This window comes from Homo sapiens, chromosome 2 (assembly GCF_000001405.40).
Source record: "Homo sapiens chromosome 2, GRCh38.p14 Primary Assembly".
Lineage (NCBI taxonomy): Eukaryota > Metazoa > Chordata > Mammalia > Primates > Hominidae > Homo > Homo sapiens.
Window position 1 is genome coordinate 227,450,260 of NC_000002.12, and position 20,528 is coordinate 227,470,787.

Here is a 20,528-nt window from a genome sequence, read left to right on the forward strand (position 1 = left end):
TCTCGAAATATGCTACCAGGTGGCTTAAAAATCACAGCTGAATCTATACGGTCAACTTGGCAGTAAAACACGTTACTTATTTCCTGTTTGGGAAAAATACCGCACTATGCTTCCTAGATTCAACTGAATTATGAAATGCAGAAATTGAAATGGGTACAAAAAGTATACTATTTTTTTATCCCTCCCCCCCCCCCCCGTTTCCTTTCTTCTTTCCTTCCTTTTTTTTCTGACAGCATTCACACATAGAAGAAAAGTTGATTCAATGCATCTGGATTGTGAAATAAAGCATAAGGTGTGGACAGGCAGTACAAGTATTGCATACTGTTAATGTTTAATTAAATATTTGAAATCAAACAGTTGACTTAGCAAGTGCTATAAAGAAGAGAGTGTAGATTTTACTAGCTTCTCCATAGCTTGGAAAAAAATTCAGATTGTACCAACCAAGGACAGGTTTTCAGTCGTAAAAGCTAAACATTATTCCATGGATGGCTCCTAGTGGGTGACTTTGGCTCCCTGGCTGCACTGCCCATGTGACTTTACAGATCAGAAAACATCTTCTACTAGGCGAGTTAAGAGGGGGTCAGACCAATGAGTGGCTAATTTGTAAGGATTTCACTTAACTGAAAGACACCCTTCTGAGTGCTTTCTAAACCCCATTAACAGAAATTAGTGTTAAAAGTTAAAAACCAGTAATAATCTGACCTTCAAGCATGCTATACTATAAACTGAACTCTCTATTTTCTGGCTACTGCATTTTCCACTACCAGCCCTAGCCCAGGTTGCTTCCTCTGCCTGAGATGTTCTTTCCTCCCAGCGCCATGTGCACTCCAAATCCTGCCCATCTTAACTGCTACTTCCTCCAAGAAGTCTCCCTTCCCTTATCCTTCAAGACTGAGGGACTCATGCCTTCCTGTGAACTGCCTTAGTGAATTATCTCACCCCTCTTGTGACACTTCACTTTCTGTCTTGTTTTAAGATCTTTTGTGTTTCCTTTTTTATTCCATTTTATTATATAAAAGTCCTTTGTGGAAAGGACTTGCACCTGGTTCCTTGTTCCATTCCCCACACCACATGGCTCGGGACTTTGTACACTGTTTAGCAGATAACAATTTAAATGAATGACCCATTAGATATCATGTTGGTGTCTGATATTTGTTCTACCCAGAGTGAGTCCATCTGGAGGGTGAGATAATGTCGTTCAGCTCCTTTCCAACCCCATCAGCAGTCCTAGGTGAAGAAAGGCAAAGGCCTGTTATAGATCAACTCCCTGGACTAATGTTGCAATCATTCTCTTTGCAAACATGTGTCAGCGTTTCTGCTTCCATATCTTTCTACATATCCGCAGTGAACAAACTCCCTAAGAAACACTGGCTTATTGAAATGGGGCATGTTACTAAATACACAGCATTCTTTTTATCTCCCTTCTCTGCTGTATAACACACCAACCTCCACTTGCACATTCAGAAATATAAAAATGATTACATTATGTAAATCCAACCCCTTTGTAGGGATCACTGCCAGAGAGATGTTAAAATGACATTACACCTGACCTTTCTGAAAAGGATAATGCTCCAGAAGTAAATTCTTACAAATGAGGATGGACAACACTTGGAGTTCTTTTTTTTTTTCTTTTTTTTTTTTCTTTGGAGTCTCACTCTGTCACCCAGGCTTGAGTGCAATGGTGTAATCTTGGCTCACTGCAACCTCTGCCTCCTGGGTTCAAGTGATTGTCCTGCCTCAGCCTCCTGAGTAGCTGGGATTACAGGCGCCTGCCACCATGCCCAGATAATTTTTTCTATTTTTAGTAGAAATGAGGTTTCACCATGTTGGCCAGGCTGGTCTTGAACTCCTGACCTCAGGTGACCCACCTGCCTTGGCCACCCAAAGTGCTGGGATTACAGGCATGAGCCACCATGCCTGGCCAACATTCAGAGGTTTTTTTTTTTTTTCTTTTTTTTTTAAAGAAACCCCTATTGGCTTGTTATTTTATATAAATAAGCATTTTGATTAAAAGAACTATTTGAACTGAATATTTTCTCCCACAGAATGGGAATTAGATTTCTTTAACTTAGCCTGGCTTAGGGTCTCTCTGTCTTCCTTTTTTTGAAGATCTGAAACTCTGGCAAAACAATGTCATATTTTCTGCTAATTTGTGGTTATTGTCCTTTTGCAGGATTTGAATCTTATATGAAGTTTATTTTGTCACCAGGACTATATACCAGAATTTGAGTCTCAGCTGGTATCGGTGGGGGAAGGCCATGGTGGTCTACTGGACAGCACCTGGAAAAAGATGGCATTTGAGTTTGGGCTATGCCACTACTGGCAGTTTGGTTTGGGGAAAGCCAAGTCTTCGCCTCTCAGTCTCCTATCTGAAAAATTGAGACAATAACAATACATATTTCCCAGAATTTTTGTGAGATTTTAATGAGATAATGCATGAGAAAATGCACTGTATACAATACTATACAAATACCAACCCTTCTTCCTATATCACCAGACTCTGCCACATTCATTGAAATCAGCACTTGGTGTTTACGAACATCTTCTCCATATGAGATGCAGAGGACAGAAATTTAAGAGATGCTGACCTTGCCTTTGCAGAGTATTTAACCTTTTTTTTTTTTTTTTTTTTTTGAGATGGAGTCTTGCTCTGTCACCTAGGCTCTGTCACCTAGCCAAGATCACGCGATCTTGGCTCACTGCAACCTCTGCCTCCCTGGCTCAAGCAATTCTCCTGCCTCAGTCTCCCGAGTAGCTGGGATTACAGGCACCTGCCACTATGCCCGGCTAATTTTTCCATTTTTAGTAGAGACAGGGTTTTACCATGTTGGCCAGGCTGGTCTCAAACTCTTGACCTCAAGTGGTCCGCCCACCTCAGCCTCCCAAAGTGCTGGGATTACAGGCATGAGCCACACCAGGCCTTAACCTTTAAGTTTCCTTCCTTCCTTCTTTTTTTTTTTTTCCAGGCAGAGACTTACTGTGTCACCCAGGCTGGAGTGCAGTGGTGCAATCTCGGCTCACTGCAACCTCTGCTCCTGGGGTTCAAGTGATTCTCCTGCCTCAGCCTCCCGAGCAGCTGGGATTACAGGCACGTGCCCCCATGCCTGGCTAATTTTTGTATTTTTAGTAGAGACGGGGTTTCACCATGTTGGCCAGGTTGGTCTTGAACTCCTGACCTCAAGTGATCTGCCCGCCTTGGCTTCCCAAAGTGCTGGAATTACAGGTGTGAGCCACTGCACATGGCCTTTTAAGTTACGTTTAAAAATAAGTTTAATTATGTTTGCTTTGTGAATCTAAAAAAGTGGCTTTTCTTCTGTGAGTATTGGTTTCCTCATCTGTAAAATGGAAGTAGTAATAACTATTTTTCGAGAACAAAGGAGGTAATACACATGAAGCATTGGCATAGTACCTGTCACGTCTAGTTGCTCAGTAAATGGTACCTTTTCAAAGAATAAGAAAAGTGCCCACCTAGTATTATAAGGCTTCAAATTAATAAGCAAGAACCATTATGTCTAGTTCGAAAAGTCTGGAAAGGCTTTATAGAAGATTTAGAATCTGAGCAGAGGCTCAATGTACAAACAGATTTCTGCATTTGAAGATAATAGCAGCAATGGCCAATATTTGCCACACACTGTTCAAAGCACTTTACATGTATTAACTCATTTAATACCAAAACGCAGTTGGTATTTTCATCCCCATTTTGCAAATGAGAAGACTGAGGTACCAGAGTTGAAGAGACTAACCCATAGTCTCACAGATGATTTGGGGGAGAGCAAGGACCAGACCTAAACAGTCTGGTTCCTGAGCCTCAGCTCATAACCACCACTTAGAAGGGGCAGTGGGGACCAATGCAGTGGCTCATGCCTATAATCCCAGCACTTTGGGAGGTGGAGGCAGGAGAATTGCTTGAGCCTAGGAATTCAAGACCAGCCTGGGCAACATAGAAAGACTCCATCTCTTAAAAAAAAATAGCTGGGTGTGAGGGTGTGGGCCTGTAGTCCTAGCTACTAGGGAGGCTGAGGTGTGAGGATGGCTTGTGCCCAGGAGATCAAGGCTACGGTGAGCTATGATTACTCCACTGCATTCCAGCTTGGGGGACAGTGCAAGACTCTGTGTCCAAAAAAATAAAAATAAATAAACAGAATGGGACAGTGAGCTGGAGGGTGAGAGGGATGGAGGAGACAGGCAACCAAAAGCATTATAGGTGCAGAGATGATGAATGAAAACCCTAGGGTCTTCCCCTCCTGAGAGAAAGTAGTGTGAATAGGTCAGAGGCACAGTGGGAAAGGAGCCCTGTGTGATGGAAAAACTGGGGAGACAAAAGGCCAGAGGGAGAGTGTTGTCACTGAGTTGCAGAGAGGTGGCCTCACCACTGAGCCCAGTTCATACCTGTTGATTATGAAGGCAGCAAGAAGGAGAGTTCCAGATTTTGCAAGTCCAGGCCAGATGTAAACATAAGGCCAGTGTTTTCTTAGGAGGCTACCTGGTCCAAGAGGGCAAGGTAATCCCCTCCTCTGTCCACAAAATGCTGCTGACCTTTGACTTTTGCCAGAAAAGCTTTCATCTGGTGTCACCTCTCACCAGGTCCTGGCAATTATGTACATTTCTTAAAAAGGTTAGACTAGCAATTTTTCAAGCTTGCACAGTAGAATGTCATTGTGTGCATGTTTAATTAATCAAGCTGGCATCTAGACTGTGAAAAGCAAGTCTGCAAAGCACCTTGAAGAAAATAATAAACATCCTTCAGTCTTTAAAACACAAACTGCAACAAAAATGAACACTTTCCTTAAGAATCATGAGGACTCAATGGATGCCAAGTTTGCATGTTATTCTGCATGAAATTTCCTCCTCTCTCTCTCAAATTCAGAGTTTTATAGACAATTTCATCAGGCCAGAAGTGTCAGACTTTCTCTTCGATGGAATCATGATGTCTTTATATGGCCAAATATTGTTAGCATTTAGATTCAAGGTTACTTCCTCTGCAAAAGTTAATTGGATGGGATGATGGTTATTCAATGATAATACATTACACTGTCTTACTGTGACCCCTGGGCCTGTCATTTCATTAACAGTCCAGAGAGCATGTCTCACTAAGGCTTTTTGGCTCCTAAACACATGAGGTCACCTCTGCATGCAAAATGAGTCCCTAAAAGGTAGTTAGCATAAATTACTTTATCACTCAACCACAAAAGCAACTTTCTTTTGCAAAATGTTTCCGACTTTTAAGTAACTTCCTTGTACGTGCATTTTTGCTTCCTATACTCATCATTCAATGAAGCAAAACCTAATGTTCTATTAGAATAATCTAGGCAACTGTTTTTTTTTGCCAGGAAGACCCAAGGAACTGCTATAATCGTCTTTGGTTAATTTTTTTTATTTAAAAAATTACTACTCTTAAAATAAATTACTGTGTAAACTCTGCTAGTGGTTTTGTCAATTTTGCTCCCATTAAAATAGGTAAATTACATCAATTAATATATACTAAGGAGAGAGTTAAATGATACCTATTATGTGTTCACACTTTCTAGTCTGTTTCCCTCCCATTTCCTTACTTCAGAAACCCCCTAGAGGTGATGTTCTTGCTACTAATCAGCAGTTAACCAGAACAATGGCTTTATTCATTTATTTATTCATTCAACCATTTATTCATCAAATACTAACTGAGCACCTATTATGTGCCTAGCACTATTCAAGGAACTTGGAATACATTAATGAAAAAGCAGGAAGAGATTCCTGCCCTCCTGGGGCTTAAAGTCTCATAAGGGATAGTTAGATAATAAATAATAAACATAACAAATACAAGAACTATATAGTATATTGAAAGTTCACAAGTGATCTGGAAAAAATAAAAAATGGCACCAGGGGAGTGGAGAACTGGTATACGCAGCAGGGAGGAAGGGGCAGACTGCCATATTAAATAGGGTAATCATGGACAGGCCTGGCTGAGAAATAGGGATGGAGAGAAGTGAAGGAGTTAACCAAGCCGATACCTGGCTTAAAGCAGAGGCAACAGCTAGAGTAAAGGCCCCAGGCAGGAGCTTGGCCTGTTCCCAATGTGGCAAGAAGGTCTGAGTGGCTGGAATGAATGGGAGAGAAGAAAGAGCTTTGTGGGACAGGAGGTCAGGGGTGCTGGGGGACAGGGTGGACACTGCAGGAATTTGAGTAGCAACATGATCTGACTCAGTGTTTAAAAGGATTCCCCTTTAGGGCCTTTTAGGGCATGGTGGCTTATGCCTGTAATCCCAGCACTTTGGGGAGGCCAAGGTAGGGGGATTGCTTGAGCCCAGGGGTTGAGACCAGCCTAGGCAATACAGTAATACCCTTGTCTCTACATAAACAAACAAACAAACAAACAAAGGACCCCGCTAGTACTGGGTTGAGAATGGACAGTGGAGGGGGCTCAGTGTGGAAGCAGGAAGACCAAATTACTATATTCTACAGTCACATTAGAAAATACTAAAAACCCTTTTTGGTTTACATTGTTGTAAACCAGACTTAGAACTAGAAACAAACAAACAAAAAAACTTCCTGTTCAGTCACCTTCTTGGACTACATCCCTTGCATAGAAACTTCAGCACCCTCCTGGAGGAAGGTACATTCCTAGCCCCCTGGCTTTTCTACGTTGGAGGAGCATCAGACCCGCTTAAGCTAACTTGGTAGTGCCCTGTGGGGGCGGTGCAATTACGTCACAGAAGACAGTCATCAAGTCAAGGGGCACAGAGGCAAACACAAGGGTGGGAAGTTCCAGAAGTAGTTCCAGAATGCTTGCTTGGTGATGCAAACCAGGACTGGAATCAGGGAAGGGGGGCCAGCAGGTGCTCTATGCTCACTGTGTCTCACTGATGCTAAAGACAGAGTGCATGTTCTTTGATATTTAGAGTAACAAGATGCAAAATAGCAAACCTTACCTCACTCTGTTTTTGCCTTTGAACTGTCATGATGCAGCTTAGACTTGTATCAGTCTATTTACTTTTCTTTTTTTTTTTTTGAGATGGCGTCTTGCTCCGTCACGTAGGCTGGAGAGCAGTGGTGCGATCTCCGCTCACTGCAACCTCTGCCTCCCAGGTTCAAGCGATTCTCCCGCCTCAGCCTCCTGAGTAGCTGGGATTACAGGAGTGAGCCACCACACCTGGCTAATTTTTTTTTTTTTTTTTTTTAGTAAGATGGGTTTTCACTATGTTGGCCAGGCTGGTCTCGAACTCCTGACCTCAAGTGATCTGCCCGCCCTTGGCCTCCCAAACTGCTAAGACTACTGGCGTGAGCCACCGTGCCTGGCCTTTTTTTCCCCCCTTTTCCAAAGTCTAATATTAGGGATATAGTCCACTGAGAGAACAATCACCGATACATAAAAGGGCATCACAAAATGGAGACCCAAGATCGAAGGGCAATAATGAGATTGAATTTTATGCTTCTGAGGACCTGCCTTCATAGTCTGTGAAAAAATAAGTTAGAAGCAAGAATACTTGGGGCTTTCTTAATTATTTCACATGACTGAGAATGCAGGAGTACAGCTATTAGAAGAAATCCTAGGAGAGATTACTGCCCTAGAAAGAGAGGTCTCTGGGCCTCTGCTGAATCAAGTAAAGCCATCAGAAAGTTCAAATGAGACTACAGGGAACTATCACAAGAGACTGGAAGCAATGTGGGAAGGTCATCTAGCCACAGAGTGGCAAACAGGGTACAGATCTCACAGCCAACTGGGATCATTAGCAGCATCTTCTGGAGCAGAGAGTTAGTTGCAAGGGATTCCAAGGCTACACGTGGTATTAGCTAGAAATGGTGTAATGAACATGAGTGATGCCGGCTCCACGTGAAAGAGGCAGGAGTGGTGTATAGTTAACATTCTTGATGGGTCGGTTCTCTTGCCTTCTTATCTGTCTACATTCAGACCATCTTAGAAAGATGAGATGCTAATTCTATTTTTAAGAAGCTTTGGCCAGGCACGGTGGCTTATGGCCTGTAATCCCAACACTTTGGGAGGCCAAGCCGGACAGATCACCTGAAGTCAGGAGTTCGAGACCAGCCTGGCCAACATGGCGAAACCCTGTCTCTATTAAAAATACAAACATTAGCCAGGTGTGGTGGTACATGCCTGTATTCCCAGCTACTTGGGAGGCTGAGGCAGAAGAATCGCTTGAACCCGGGAGGCGGAGGTTGCAGTGAGCCGAGATCGCATCACTGCATGCCAGCCTGGGCAACAGAGTGAGACTGTCTCAAAAAAAAAAAAAAAAAAAAAAAAGCATGAAGAGGACATGATATATAATCCTTTCAGAAATGCAAAGATTAAAATGAATTCTTCTTCTTTTATCCGAGGTGGGACTGCTTTAATGTAAATCTGGTTTCTGTTGTCCTGGCCTTTGTGGAGAATGGAGGAGTACCATGTCCAGGAATCCATCTGTGTCTATGGTCTAGATCGGGGGTGTCCAATCTTTTGGCTTCCCTGGGCCACACTGGAAGAAGAAGAATTGTCTTGGGCCACACATAAAATACACTAATACTAACGATAGCTGATGAGCTGTTAAAAAAAAATCACAGAAAACCTCATAGTGTTTAAAGAAAGTTTATGAATTTGTGTTGGGCCGCATTCAAAGCTGTCCTGTGCCCCGTGCGGCCCACAGGCGGTGGGTCGGACAAACTTAGTCTACCTGTTAGACACTCTCCTTCCTCTGGCCCATCCTCCTTAAATCCAGGGTTCCCCTCCCTCTGTTCCCACCCCCTGACCTTTGTTGCCCCTGTAGACAAACTGGAGACTTCAGATTCAGACAGAGGGAACCTCAGGGAGACGATGCATTGTGGAGAATCTGGGTTCCTGTTTTGGTTCTGCCATCAGATCCCTCGTTTTCCTTAGTAGAATGAGGGGGATTTTAACCTTGGGCACGGGATCAGCCTGAGATGATATTTTACGTGTCTGGTGCATAGTTAAGGAAAGGGGAGTGGTATCTTTTATCTGATTCTCAAAAGGGGCTCTAACTCTAAACCTGTTGAGTCATTGGTCTAAGTGATTTCTTTTTCTTTTCTTTTCTGTTTTTTTCTTTTTTTGAGACGGAGTCTCGCTCTGTCGCCCAGGCTGGAGTGCAGTGGCGCGATCTTGGCTCACTGCAAGCTCTGCCTCCCGGGTTCATGCCATTCTCCTGCCTCAGCCTCGTGAGTAGCTGGGACTACAGGCGCCGGCCATCGCACCTGTCTAATTTTTTGTATTTTTAGTAGAGACGGGGTTTCACCGTGTTAGGCAGGATGGTCTCAATCTCCTAACCTCGTGATCCGCCCGCCTCGGCCTCCCAATCTAAGTGATTTCTAATATTCTTTCCATTTGAAACTTTGCATGTGAAGATCCATTTTCACTGGGGCCGTGGCTCACACCTGTAATCTCAGCACTCTGGGAGGCTAAGGTGGGTGGATCACTTGAGGTCAGGAGTTTGAGACCAGCCTGGCCAACAGGGTGAAACCCCGTCTCTACTAAAAATACAAAAATTAGCTGGGTGGGGTGGTGCATGCCTGTAATCCCAGTTATTCGGGAGGCTGAGGTGGGAGGATAGCTTGAACCCAGGAGGCAGAGACCACAATGAGCTGAGATCTCACCACTGCACTCCAGCCTGGGTTATAGAGTGAGACTCCATCTAAAAAAAAAAAAAAAAAAAAAAGAAGGTATCTTTTCATGCAATCATATACCCTATGTATGATGCTCACAGCTGGAAGATGCAGCAAAATACTCTTCAAATGGCAACTTCTAGATCTTATAGAGAATGGACCCATATTTATCAGATTTGAAGATGTTTAAAATAGACCAAAAATGTAACCTGTATAAAAAAGGAGAAATAGGGGTTGTTAAAATTTCCCTGAAAGCCCATGTGTAATAAAAATGAGTCATTATTCTAGAGGGTTTCCTGCCTTTTAAGGGCTGTAAATCAGAAGCAATGCTTATGGGAGACAAGGCCACGCTCCCCAGGTCTCCTGGGGGCGGCGGCAGCAGCACCCTCGTCCTGGCTGTGGTCCACGGTGCCTGGCTGCGACTAAGGCTGCAGAATGTTGAGTTGCTGTTCTGCGGTTTTGCCACATTCATCAAATGTGGTTATTGTCAACTAGATAAAGTATAGTACGGTGATTATGAGCACAGTTTCTGAATCAGACTGTCCAATCCTGGATCTCCCCTGGGAGCTTGAGCAAGCAACTTAATTTTTCTGTGCCTCAGTTTCTTTACCTGTAAAATAGAAATAATCCTATCACCTACTTCATAAAGTTCCTATGAGGATAAAGTGATTTAATGTATGAACAGCACTTAGAACAGTGTCTGGCAGATAGTAAGCATTCTATGTACTTGGATAGTAATAGCATTCCAAATATTACTTATCCAATCCATAGTATTGGATATGTAAAAGCATAGAAAAAAGGTCTGGAAAGGTAACGATGTGCTGCGACTGCTGGACGAGGCGATGTGAATGGGAGAGTGTGAGCTGTGGGCTGGGGAACTTTTGGCTTTACTGGCTGTGTTAGCTTCCCAGGGCTTCTGTAACAAACTGTCACAAGCTAGGTGGTTGAAAATAACAGGGATTTATGCTCACAATTCTTTATGCTACAGGTGAGGAATCAAGGAATCAGCAGGTCCAAAGGCTCTAGGGAAGAATCCTTCCTTGCCTCTTCCAGTTTCTGGTGGTCCTAGGTGTTCCTCGGCTCGTGGCAGCATGACTCCCACCTCTGCCTCCATCATCACATGGCCTTCCTCCCCGTATGTCTGTATGTGTCCTCTCTTCTTCTCATAGAGACACTAGTCATTGGATTTAGGGCCCACTCTAAATCAGAATGATTTCATCTTGAGTTCTCCAATGAATCACATCTTCAAAGGTCCTATTTCTAAATAAGGTCACATCCTGAGGTTCTGGTTGAATGTGAAGTTTTAGGAGATGCTTCAACTCACTATACCAGCATTGTTTTGTTTTGTTTTGCTTTCTTTTAAAAATGAGATTATATTCATGTATTACTTAGGATTTTTTTTTTTTTTTTTTTTTTTTTGAGACAGAGTTTCACTCTGTTGCCCAGGCTGGAGTGCAATGGTGCAGTCTCGGCTCACCGCAAACTCTGCCTCCCGGGTTCAAGCAATTCTCCTGCCTCAGCCTCCCGAGTAGCTGGGATTACAAGTGTGCGCCACCATGCCTGGCTAATTTTGTATTTTTAGTAGAGATGGGTTTCTCCATGTTGGTCAGGCTGGTCTCGAACCCCCAGTCTTGGGTGATCCACCCACCTCAGCCTCCCAAAGAGCTGGGATTACAGGCATGAGCCACTGTGCCTGGCCCTACTTAGGATATTAAACAACAAAATGAAACAAGAAAATATATATATAAAATATAATATACATTATACTATGGGAAGCTAATGTATACATGTATACACTTGCTTATTCTGTCTAGGTTGTAGAGGAGGTTGTTGATGGGAAAAGAGGGAAATACAATGATTGCTAACACTTGTAGAATGCTTACTATCTGCCAGACATTGTTTTAAGTGCTTTTCGTATATTAAATCACTTAATCCTCATTGGAACCTTATGAAGTAGGTGGTATGATCATTTCTATTTTATAGGTGAAGAAACTGAAGCACAGAAAAGTTAAGTTGCTTGCTCAAGCTCCCAGGGGAGATCCAGGCTTGGACAGTCTGATTCAGAAACTTTGCTGATACCACCATGCTGTACTGTCCTTCATGTATGGGCACACATAGGCGATACAGGTCTGAGTCAAGAAAATTTGACATCACTTCCTAAACACACACACTCTCCTTTTTCTCCCCAAATAAAGCATCTATAAATGAATGTTGTTTCTGTGGTTAGATGTGTTTGGAGAATTTTATCTGCAGAATCTTCCAAACTGAACATTGTCTGATATTTACTTAGAAGAAATAAAAACTTCCATGAACTGAGTGAAAAATAGTTGTTCATGTATATCACTGATTGCTGTTCAGATCACTTAGAGCACAATGGATTTCAACCAGTCAAAGTGCAGCAATGCTCTGAGCAAAGGGTAGCCGCACACAAGGTGGTTCACTTAACGGCAGCTTCTGGCAAATTGCAGCTAAACTGCAGTTCCAGTTGACTTGGTAACTTACAAACAGCACACGCTGAATGGAAAAGGAATTGGTATACCATATTTAAAACAATGAGAATAATGATAGCAGTGCTTCCATTAATGCCAGATGCTGTGCTGAGTACATTTTCTTACTCTGTTCTTACTGTAACCTTCTGAATCATTAATGCCCCAGAGGTGGGGTGGTGACTAATGATAAACTGATAAGGGTATCCTTATGGTAAAAATGGCCATGACCTTGTTCCTGTAAAGTTGCTCCAGGGACTTCCCCACTCATAAGCGGACTTGGAATTTTCGCCGTAAGTCCTTTGCTATAAGTTCTACGCACATTCAACAGGGACACCTCTGTGTAGCAAGTTACCTAAATGAATATTCAGGCTGTTTTCACTCTGGGAACTTGGTATGTGTAAATTTTCAGGTAATTTCCCTCATTTGAATAACTTCTTGAGTGAAAACAGGTCCTTCAAGTGCACATCCTGGAGCCCCGGGGCTGGCATAGCATCCTTATAAAGCAGAAACCTCAGGCTAACAGAGCCCAGTTATGTCCTGGGATGTTTGTATTCCTAGAGCCCAGCTCGAGACCAGGAAGTGCCTCCTAGGTTTTCCTGTTTCCATGTGGCCTTGGTTTGGATTCACAAGAAAAGGATTCAACAGAGTACAGTGCTGACTGTACCGGTTAAATTATGGCCTCTAAAGTCCAACCACTGGCCTTCCAATCCCAGCTCCATCACTTCCCAGCTATGTGACCTTGGCAAGCCCTCAACTCGGGAGCCTTAGTTTCTTCATCTGTAAAATGGATATAACAATAAAATCTATGTCCAAAGGCTGCTGTGAGTATTAACTGGGTGCTTAGTCAACCGGGAAACATTAGTCACTGGTATTGGGGGATCAACGGTGGAGCTCTATGCAATCGATTCTCTTCTCAGGGGATGGGGTATGATGGCAACATCAGTCAACTGGGCTCAAGGGAATTACTTTGCACTCAGTTCAGCACATGCTGTCTAATGAGCCATTGCCTATCTGCCAGCATTTGTTGAGAAATACAAAAAGAAAGAGAGGAGGTTTTTTTAGAGACCCACTTTTAAAATACCCCCATCTGACCCCTTCAAAATGGAGGGCTGATGGGTAGCGTCCATTTTCCTTTTCTGTAGGCCCAGCAAGCCCCACTAATGTTTCTTTTCTGATAACTAAAGCAGGTTTCTCTCCCCACAGGGGCCTCTTTCTTTCCCCTGAACCAGAAGGGAAGATCCCCTTTCTCTTTTCAGTAATGGGCAAGAACAAAGTTCCATTGACAACGTGAATGGAGCATTTCTTACCCTGGACTCTCTTCGCACTGCAGAGGCAGGGACCTTTTCTCTCCCGCTTGGCTTCTGAAGATTATGATTCAAGTCCTCTACAGGCGACTAGGGCAGCCCAGGAATCCTGATTCTGGCACGAACTGACCAAGGGAGGGAGGCTGCTTGGTTGCAGAGCCTCCATGCACAGAAGTCCACTTACCTGTGACTTCTGATATGTGCAACCCCGAGAATTTCCCCTGCTTCGCCTACTCTGGGCCTCCCCTAACCACCCAGTAGCATCCTCTCCTTTCACATGCTATTACCTTACCCTGCTTCATTTTCCTTTAGAGCACTTAGCATCACCTGGTCCATTATATTAATTTGTTTGTCTGTTCTCCCTCCCAACGGAACATAAACCCCAGGAAAGTAGATGTTGTCTTGTTCATTGCTGAATCCCCAGTGTCTGGCACAGTGCCTGGTAAAGAGTAGATACTCAGTAAATATTCACTGAATGAATGAAGAAAGGCAGGCTGAAAGCTACTTCTGGTTTCCCTCTAAAATAAAAAAAAAATGTCTTTCTGATAAATGGATAACTAAAGTCAGGTTGCAATGGTTTTGGGCTTTTAGAATGGCCTGAGTTTGGATCAGTCAATCAACTGATGCAATTTATGAGCGATCTTTTATAGCCCAGCAAAGTAGAGACACAGAAGGATATGACCTGGTCCCTGCTCTCTGAGTGCACAAAATTCAGCTCACAAATGACAGTGGAAAATGAACCGAGGTAAAAGAAAAAGTCTCCAACAACACGGACAGCTGGAGGGCAGGTCTGCAGTTTCTCTGTTTTTCCTGGCATCTCTAAGGAAAGAGAAGCCAGGTATCCACCTGTCAGTGCCACAGCCACTGGTGGTAAGGGATGTGTGCCATTCAGGTGTCTAGCTTCTACATCCCTGGTGCTCTCTGTAGAGTATGCCCAGAAACCACACTGGTATTTCCAGGAAGTATACACCAAGTGCTGTTCTCTGTAGGTTTTGCCCCTTCTTTCTTTTCTATCATGCTACTTCTTACAAATTAAAAAGCAAGTCAGGAAGCAATGTTAAAAATAATCAAACCACAGCTAAAGGAAGGTACCTTCAAAAGAAGAAACGGGGGAAAAAAATTGAGTCGACTATTATTCCACAGTGCTTTATACTTGAGGCCCTGTGATTATTCACTCTGTGAAACCCAGTGGAACCTGGGGGAGTTAATGGGGCCAATGTTACTTTTCTTTTGCATTACTTATGTGGGCTGTAAAAATGAGCTTTGGCTCCATGGCCAAAAGCGGAAAATGTCACACCATGGGGAGCGAAGAATGTGAATCAAAATGCAAAACCTACAGCTCCAGTTTTCCTACATTGTAAATGCTTATTGCTATCAGGTAACTCCTCTCCGTAATCCAAAGCAGCTCCGGGCACCGCAGGGGCAGGGGAAGGGAAGATCTGAAGACTCTAAGTATGGACAGTATTGAGGCCAGACACAGTTGCTCACACCTGTAATAGCAGCACTTTGGGAAGCCAAGGCAACAAGATCGCTTGAGGCCAGGAGTTCGAGATCAGCCTGGGCAACACAGCAAGACCCTGGTCTCTACAAAAAATATTAAAAACAATAATTAGAAGGGCATGTTGGTGCATGCCTGTAGTCCTAGCTACTCTGGAGGATCACTTGAGCTCAGAAGTCGAAGGCTGCAGTGAGCCATGATTAGGCTGCTGCACTGTATTCCTGGGTGACACAGCAAGATCTTGTCTCAAAAAAAAAAAAAAAAAAAAAGAATGAACAATATTGAGGGTCCCCAGCCACCCAGAGCTACCTGACTGAAACTGAGTGTTTAAGAGAGGATTTAGGGGCTTCTGAGAGAGGCTCTGTGCTCTAAGACTTGGGGCTAGGGAAAGCCGATCAGCAACGTGGGGGCTTGGGGAAGAAGGTAGCTTGCTTTGTGACCAGTTCAATTTTTTTGAGGGTCCCAGAATATTAAAACATGAAGAGATGTCAAAACAGGGCCTCCCCAAACTGTGGCATATTCTAAAATAATTAAACTTAACCAATATATTGTTTAATATTAAACTAATATTAAACAATATACAAGTAAACAAAGAAAACACGGTAATTGCACTATTCACAATGTAGGTCCAAGACTTACTAAAAATATGAGTGCAATGCAGGTGGCAAGAATGGCATGGGACATGACTGGCAACATCTTTTTTCTATTCTGTCAATGGATCTTTCTGACACTGCAGTAACTCAGAGATATTGTCAAAAGTCTAAACCTAAGTCAGGCGCGGCAGCTCATGCCTGTAATCCCAGCACTTTGGGAGGCTGAGGTGACAGGATCACTGGAGGTCAGGAGTTTGAGACCAGCCTGGCCAACATGGCAAAAACCTGTCTCTACTAAAAAAAAGAAAACAAAAAAACATGCACACACACACAAATTAGCCAGGCATGGTGGCTCATACCTGTAATCCCAGCTACTTGGGAGGCTGAGGCAGGAGAATCGCTTGAACCCAAGAGGTGGAGGTTGCAGCAAGCCAAGATGGTGCCACTGCACTCCAGCCTGGGCAATAGAGCAAGACTCTGTCACAAAAAAAAAAAAAAAAAAGAAAAGTCTTAATTGAGGTCCTTTATGAATGGAAAGCCCTCCAGGGACAAAGCCACCACTGGCCATTCCATGATGTTGGTTATTGCTAGTCCTGCTTTGCTCTCAAGCAAACAGGAGGCCTCCTCTTGGGGCCTTGCCTGCAGGCATGGAGGGTGGAGCAGTCTAAGATGACCTGGCAGCTTGCTGCTGGCTCCCTGGCTCCCTGGGGCCTCTCCAAACACCAGGGTTTGTCGGGGATATAGTCTCTGACTCACCACTAGTGATAAGACAGGCCAAGAACCTTTAAGCAAGTCAGACAGCATTCAGGGAGGTTTTAGATTCTTACCACTGGAAGTCTGATTTCAGAATTTGCAAGTTCCTTAACAAAACCGTTGTAGCTTTGACAGAACTGTAGTCATTCTGGGAGCCAAAACAGCAGAGACAACAATACACAGAATGCTGAACCTGCTGCATCAAAGTGAGGAAAGCTTTATCTCTGCCTCCTCATTGCTGCATCTATTTATTCATCCAACCAATATTTACTGAGCCCTTTCTAAGTGCCAAGTCTCACAGTGAGTGCTGGAGAAAGAGTAGTGGACAAACACAGACTTGGTCCCTTCCCGGAGGAGGCCTGCAGTGTATGGGGCTGGGGGGAAGGAAGAGGGGCCCTAACTGAAAATCACAAAGCAATGTAAGTAGCCACAGCAGCAAATGCTATAAAGGAGAGGCCCATGGGGCTATGAGTACATATAATGAGGTCTGACATGTTTAGGCATGTCAGGAAAGGATCTCTGAAAAACAGATATTAAGCTGGATCTGTTATGGTTGAGAAGGGAAAGTGGAGATGGAAGACCATTTTTACCAACAAAAATAGTGTGTGCAAAGGCCCTGTGGTGGGAGCCAGGAGAATGTAAAGAACTGAGAGGAAGTAGGGCTGGAGCAGAGTGGTGGGGACTTAGAATGGTGCCCAAGGCACTGGGGCACGGGGCAGAGGCCAGGGGGCGGCGGAGGGCAGGTGGGCGCTGCTGGGGGATGCTGGGCTAGGCTGGGAGAGACCTAGGGTGAGCAGGAAGGAGGCTGCCTGTGCAGGGCGTCTGAGCCTCTGAGGTTTTCTTTCATCCTAAGAGCAATGCAAAAGCTTAAGTAGGGGGAGGGAACTGGGGACATCTGAATCACATTTGGATTTTGAAGAGATTACTCTGGCTGCAGTGTTAACATCTCTAAAGGTAATTTCTGCTTTGCAAGTCCAATAAGCAGGATCAGTCTTCAGTCACTGGAAGCAGAAGCTGGTGCCTTGGCAGCCAGATCTGGGTTTGAATCCTGGCTTCATGCCTCACTTCTGGCATGGCCTTGGGCAGGCCAGCCTTTCAGAGCCTTAGTTTCCTCATATATAAAACAGCGGTAATAATACCTCTTTCTGCGTTGTTATGAAAGTTACGGAAATTAAAGTAAATAAGTAGTCTTGCTTGATACACAGCAAACTCTCCTTGGGATATTTTAAAGTAGAAACCAACTTTGATACTATGTATGGCATGAAACAGCTAACATCCAAAAGGGTTGTATAAACTTTCAGCTTGAGGAAAACATTCGCCTTCCTACAGGTCTATAGTTTGGAAATACTGCACCTACATTTGTCTCTCTCTCTCTCTTTTTTTTTTTTGAGACAGGGTCTCGCTCTGTCACTCAGCCTGCAGTGCGGTAGCACTCGCTCTGTCACTCAGCCTGCAGTGCGGTAGCACGACCATGGCTCACAGCAGCCTCAACCTGCTGGGCTCAGGCAATCCTCTGGCTTTAGCCACCTGAGTAGCTGGAACTATAGGCACATGCCACCACACTCAGCTAATCAATTTTTTTTTTCTTTTTGTAGAGACAAGGTCTTACTATGTTGCCCAGGCTGGTCTTAAACTCCTGGGCTTAAGCAATCCTCCTGCCTTGGCCTCCCAAAGTGCTGGGATTACAGGCATGAGCCACTGTGCCCAGCCTTACTCCTGTCTCTTTAAAACAACTAAAACACAATAATCAACCAACCACTCATTCCACTGTTTGCATACATAAGGTGCTACAGCCATGCCTTCTGATTTTGGAATTTATCAGATGATAGACCATGGAGAGATGAGCAACCAGAGAACAAACAAATGACAAAGGAGCACTGCAAATATAGAAACAAATAAGCCACTGGCTGTGGCGTGAGGGCATTTGTTGGTTATGAATAAGAGACTGCTGGGTGTCATATTTAGCCAGCATGGGGCTGGTCAGTAAGCCTTCTGTTTGGATCAGTCAAGAATTCAACATTGCTTTCATCTCTTGAATGGCCCGGGGCCCTGTCAGAATATAACTCCAGGGCCAGTCTCAATGGCTCATGCCTATAATCCCAGCACTTTGGGAGGCTGAGGCTGGTGGATCACTTGAGGTCAAAAGTTGGAGACCAGCCTGGCCAACATGCTGAAACCTCATCTCTCCTAAAAATACAAAAATTAGTCGGGTGTGGTGTCGGGGGCATCTGTAATCCCCGTTACTTGGGAGGCCAAGGCAGGAGAATCACTTGAATACAGGAGACAGGGCTGAGATTGCACCACTGCACTCCAGCTTGGGCAACAGAGTGAGACTCCATCTCAACAACAACAACAAAAACTTCAGTTGACTTCAGGATTAAGTCAAGGGTCTTGTCAAAATACTCAAAAGCCAGCTTTCAGTGGTTCCCACTGGCCAATGATGAGACAATGTGAGCACTGGGGATGTAAAATATATTAAATACATTTAAATCCTTGAGTTTGTAATAGCACTTTAAAAATATTGATCGCCTAGCCTGGGCAACATAGCGACAGCTTGTCTCTACAACAAATACAAAAGTTAGCCGGGAGTGGTGGTCCTAGCTTCTTGAGGGGGTGTGCCGAGGCAGGAGGAACACTTGAGCCCAGGAGTTCGAGGCTGTAGTGAGCTATGATTGTACCATTGTACTCCAGCCTGGGTGACTGAGTGAGACCCTGTCTCCAAAATATAAATATAGATATATCTATATATCTCTGTCTATATATATTGATCACCACTGGAAGGTGAAATGAAGCCAATACATTATTTTGAAAATTTGTGAATAAAGGAAAGGAATCAAATATTTATCCTGCCTTTCTGACATGTACTATACCAAATAAAATGGTAGATGAGGGGAAATTTTTTCTTTATAGAAAATTTGAGCTGATAAATGAAGGAATGGTAGAATTAGTTTTATTTATTTATTTATTTTTATTTTTTATTTTTTTGAGACAGAGTCTCATTCTGTCACCCAGGCTGGAGTGCAGTGGTGGGATCTCAGCTCACTGCAACCTCCACCTCCTGGGTTCAAGCAATTCTCCTGCCCCAGCCTCCCGAGTAGCTGGGATTACAGGTGCCTGCCACCATGCTCAGCTAATTTTTGTATTTTTAGTAGAGACGGGGTTTCGCCATGTTGGCCAGGCTGGTCTCGAACTCCTGACCTTAGATGATCCTCCTGCCCCAGCCTCCCAAAGTTGCTGGGATTACAGGCGTGAGTCACCGCACCCAGCCAGAATGGCAGAATTAGAATATCAGTATTTTCTAATCATTAATGAATTAATGAATCTAGACATTAATCATCAATGGTTACCAACATCATGAAAAAGATATCCTCTCCTCAATTATGTCCCTCTTGATGGAAGAACACAATGAAATGAATGCCTGCCCCGCAAAAATACTGAACTGGATACTAGTGAACTAGATCTAACTACCAATTTTTAGGAAATAGAACAGAGGGACATGTTAAATGATACAGATTATGAGAAACTCTACAGAATAAAGTGCCCAATTACTAAAACAAATGAATTATAATTAAAAAAAAAGAGATGGTGGAGAGACCCAAAGAAACCTTATGAGACATATTACCCAGTTGCAAGGAGTGGGTTCAAACAAACTGTAAAAATCTCATTAAAATATTGATAATTGCCAACTTAAACACTAGTGCGATATTTGATGATCTTTAGGAGTTATTAACTTTTTTTTTTTTGAGGCGGAGTCTTGCTCTATTGCCCAGGTTGGAGTGCAGTGGCACAATCTTGGCTCACTGCCACCTCTGCCTCCCAGGTTCAAGTGATTCTCCTGCCTCAGCTTCCCAAGTAGCTGGGACTACAAGTGCATGCCACCATGCCTGGCTAATTTTCATATTTTTAGTAGAGACCCGGTTTCGCCATGTAGGCCAGGCTGGTCCTGAACTCCTGACCTCAGGTAATCCACCTGCCTTGGCCTCCCACAGTGCTGGGATTACAGGTGTGCGCCATCGTGCCCAGCCTATTGTTAACTTTTTAGATATGCTAACGGTATCATGGCTAAGTTTGAAAGAGATAAAGTTTTTATTTTTTAGGGATACAAATGGAACTATGTACCATTTAGATGAATGGTACGAAACCTAGAATTTGCTTTAAAATAATAGGAGAGGGGATGGAGGGTTGAGGTATTTATAAAGCAAGATTAGCCATGGGCTTAATCATTGCTGAAAGTGGTCCATGGGCTCATGGTAGTTTGATATTTTCCATAATAGAAAAGTTTAAAAACATTCATTGGCCAATC

General features: G+C 43.7%; 3 annotated features.

The window, feature by feature from the left end:
• Positions 10,060-10,149: an enhancer, noted in NCBI's record as "active region_17200". NCBI's record gives its function as "activates an Ori minimal core promoter by ATAC-STARR-seq in GM12878 lymphoblastoid cells {active_cell/tissue: GM12878}" and the evidence as "EXISTENCE:reporter gene assay evidence [ECO:0000049][PMID:35858748]".
• Positions 12,412-12,471: an enhancer, noted in NCBI's record as "active region_17201". NCBI's record gives its function as "activates an Ori minimal core promoter by ATAC-STARR-seq in GM12878 lymphoblastoid cells {active_cell/tissue: GM12878}" and the evidence as "EXISTENCE:reporter gene assay evidence [ECO:0000049][PMID:35858748]".
• Positions 13,372-13,431: an enhancer, noted in NCBI's record as "active region_17202". NCBI's record gives its function as "activates an Ori minimal core promoter by ATAC-STARR-seq in GM12878 lymphoblastoid cells {active_cell/tissue: GM12878}" and the evidence as "EXISTENCE:reporter gene assay evidence [ECO:0000049][PMID:35858748]".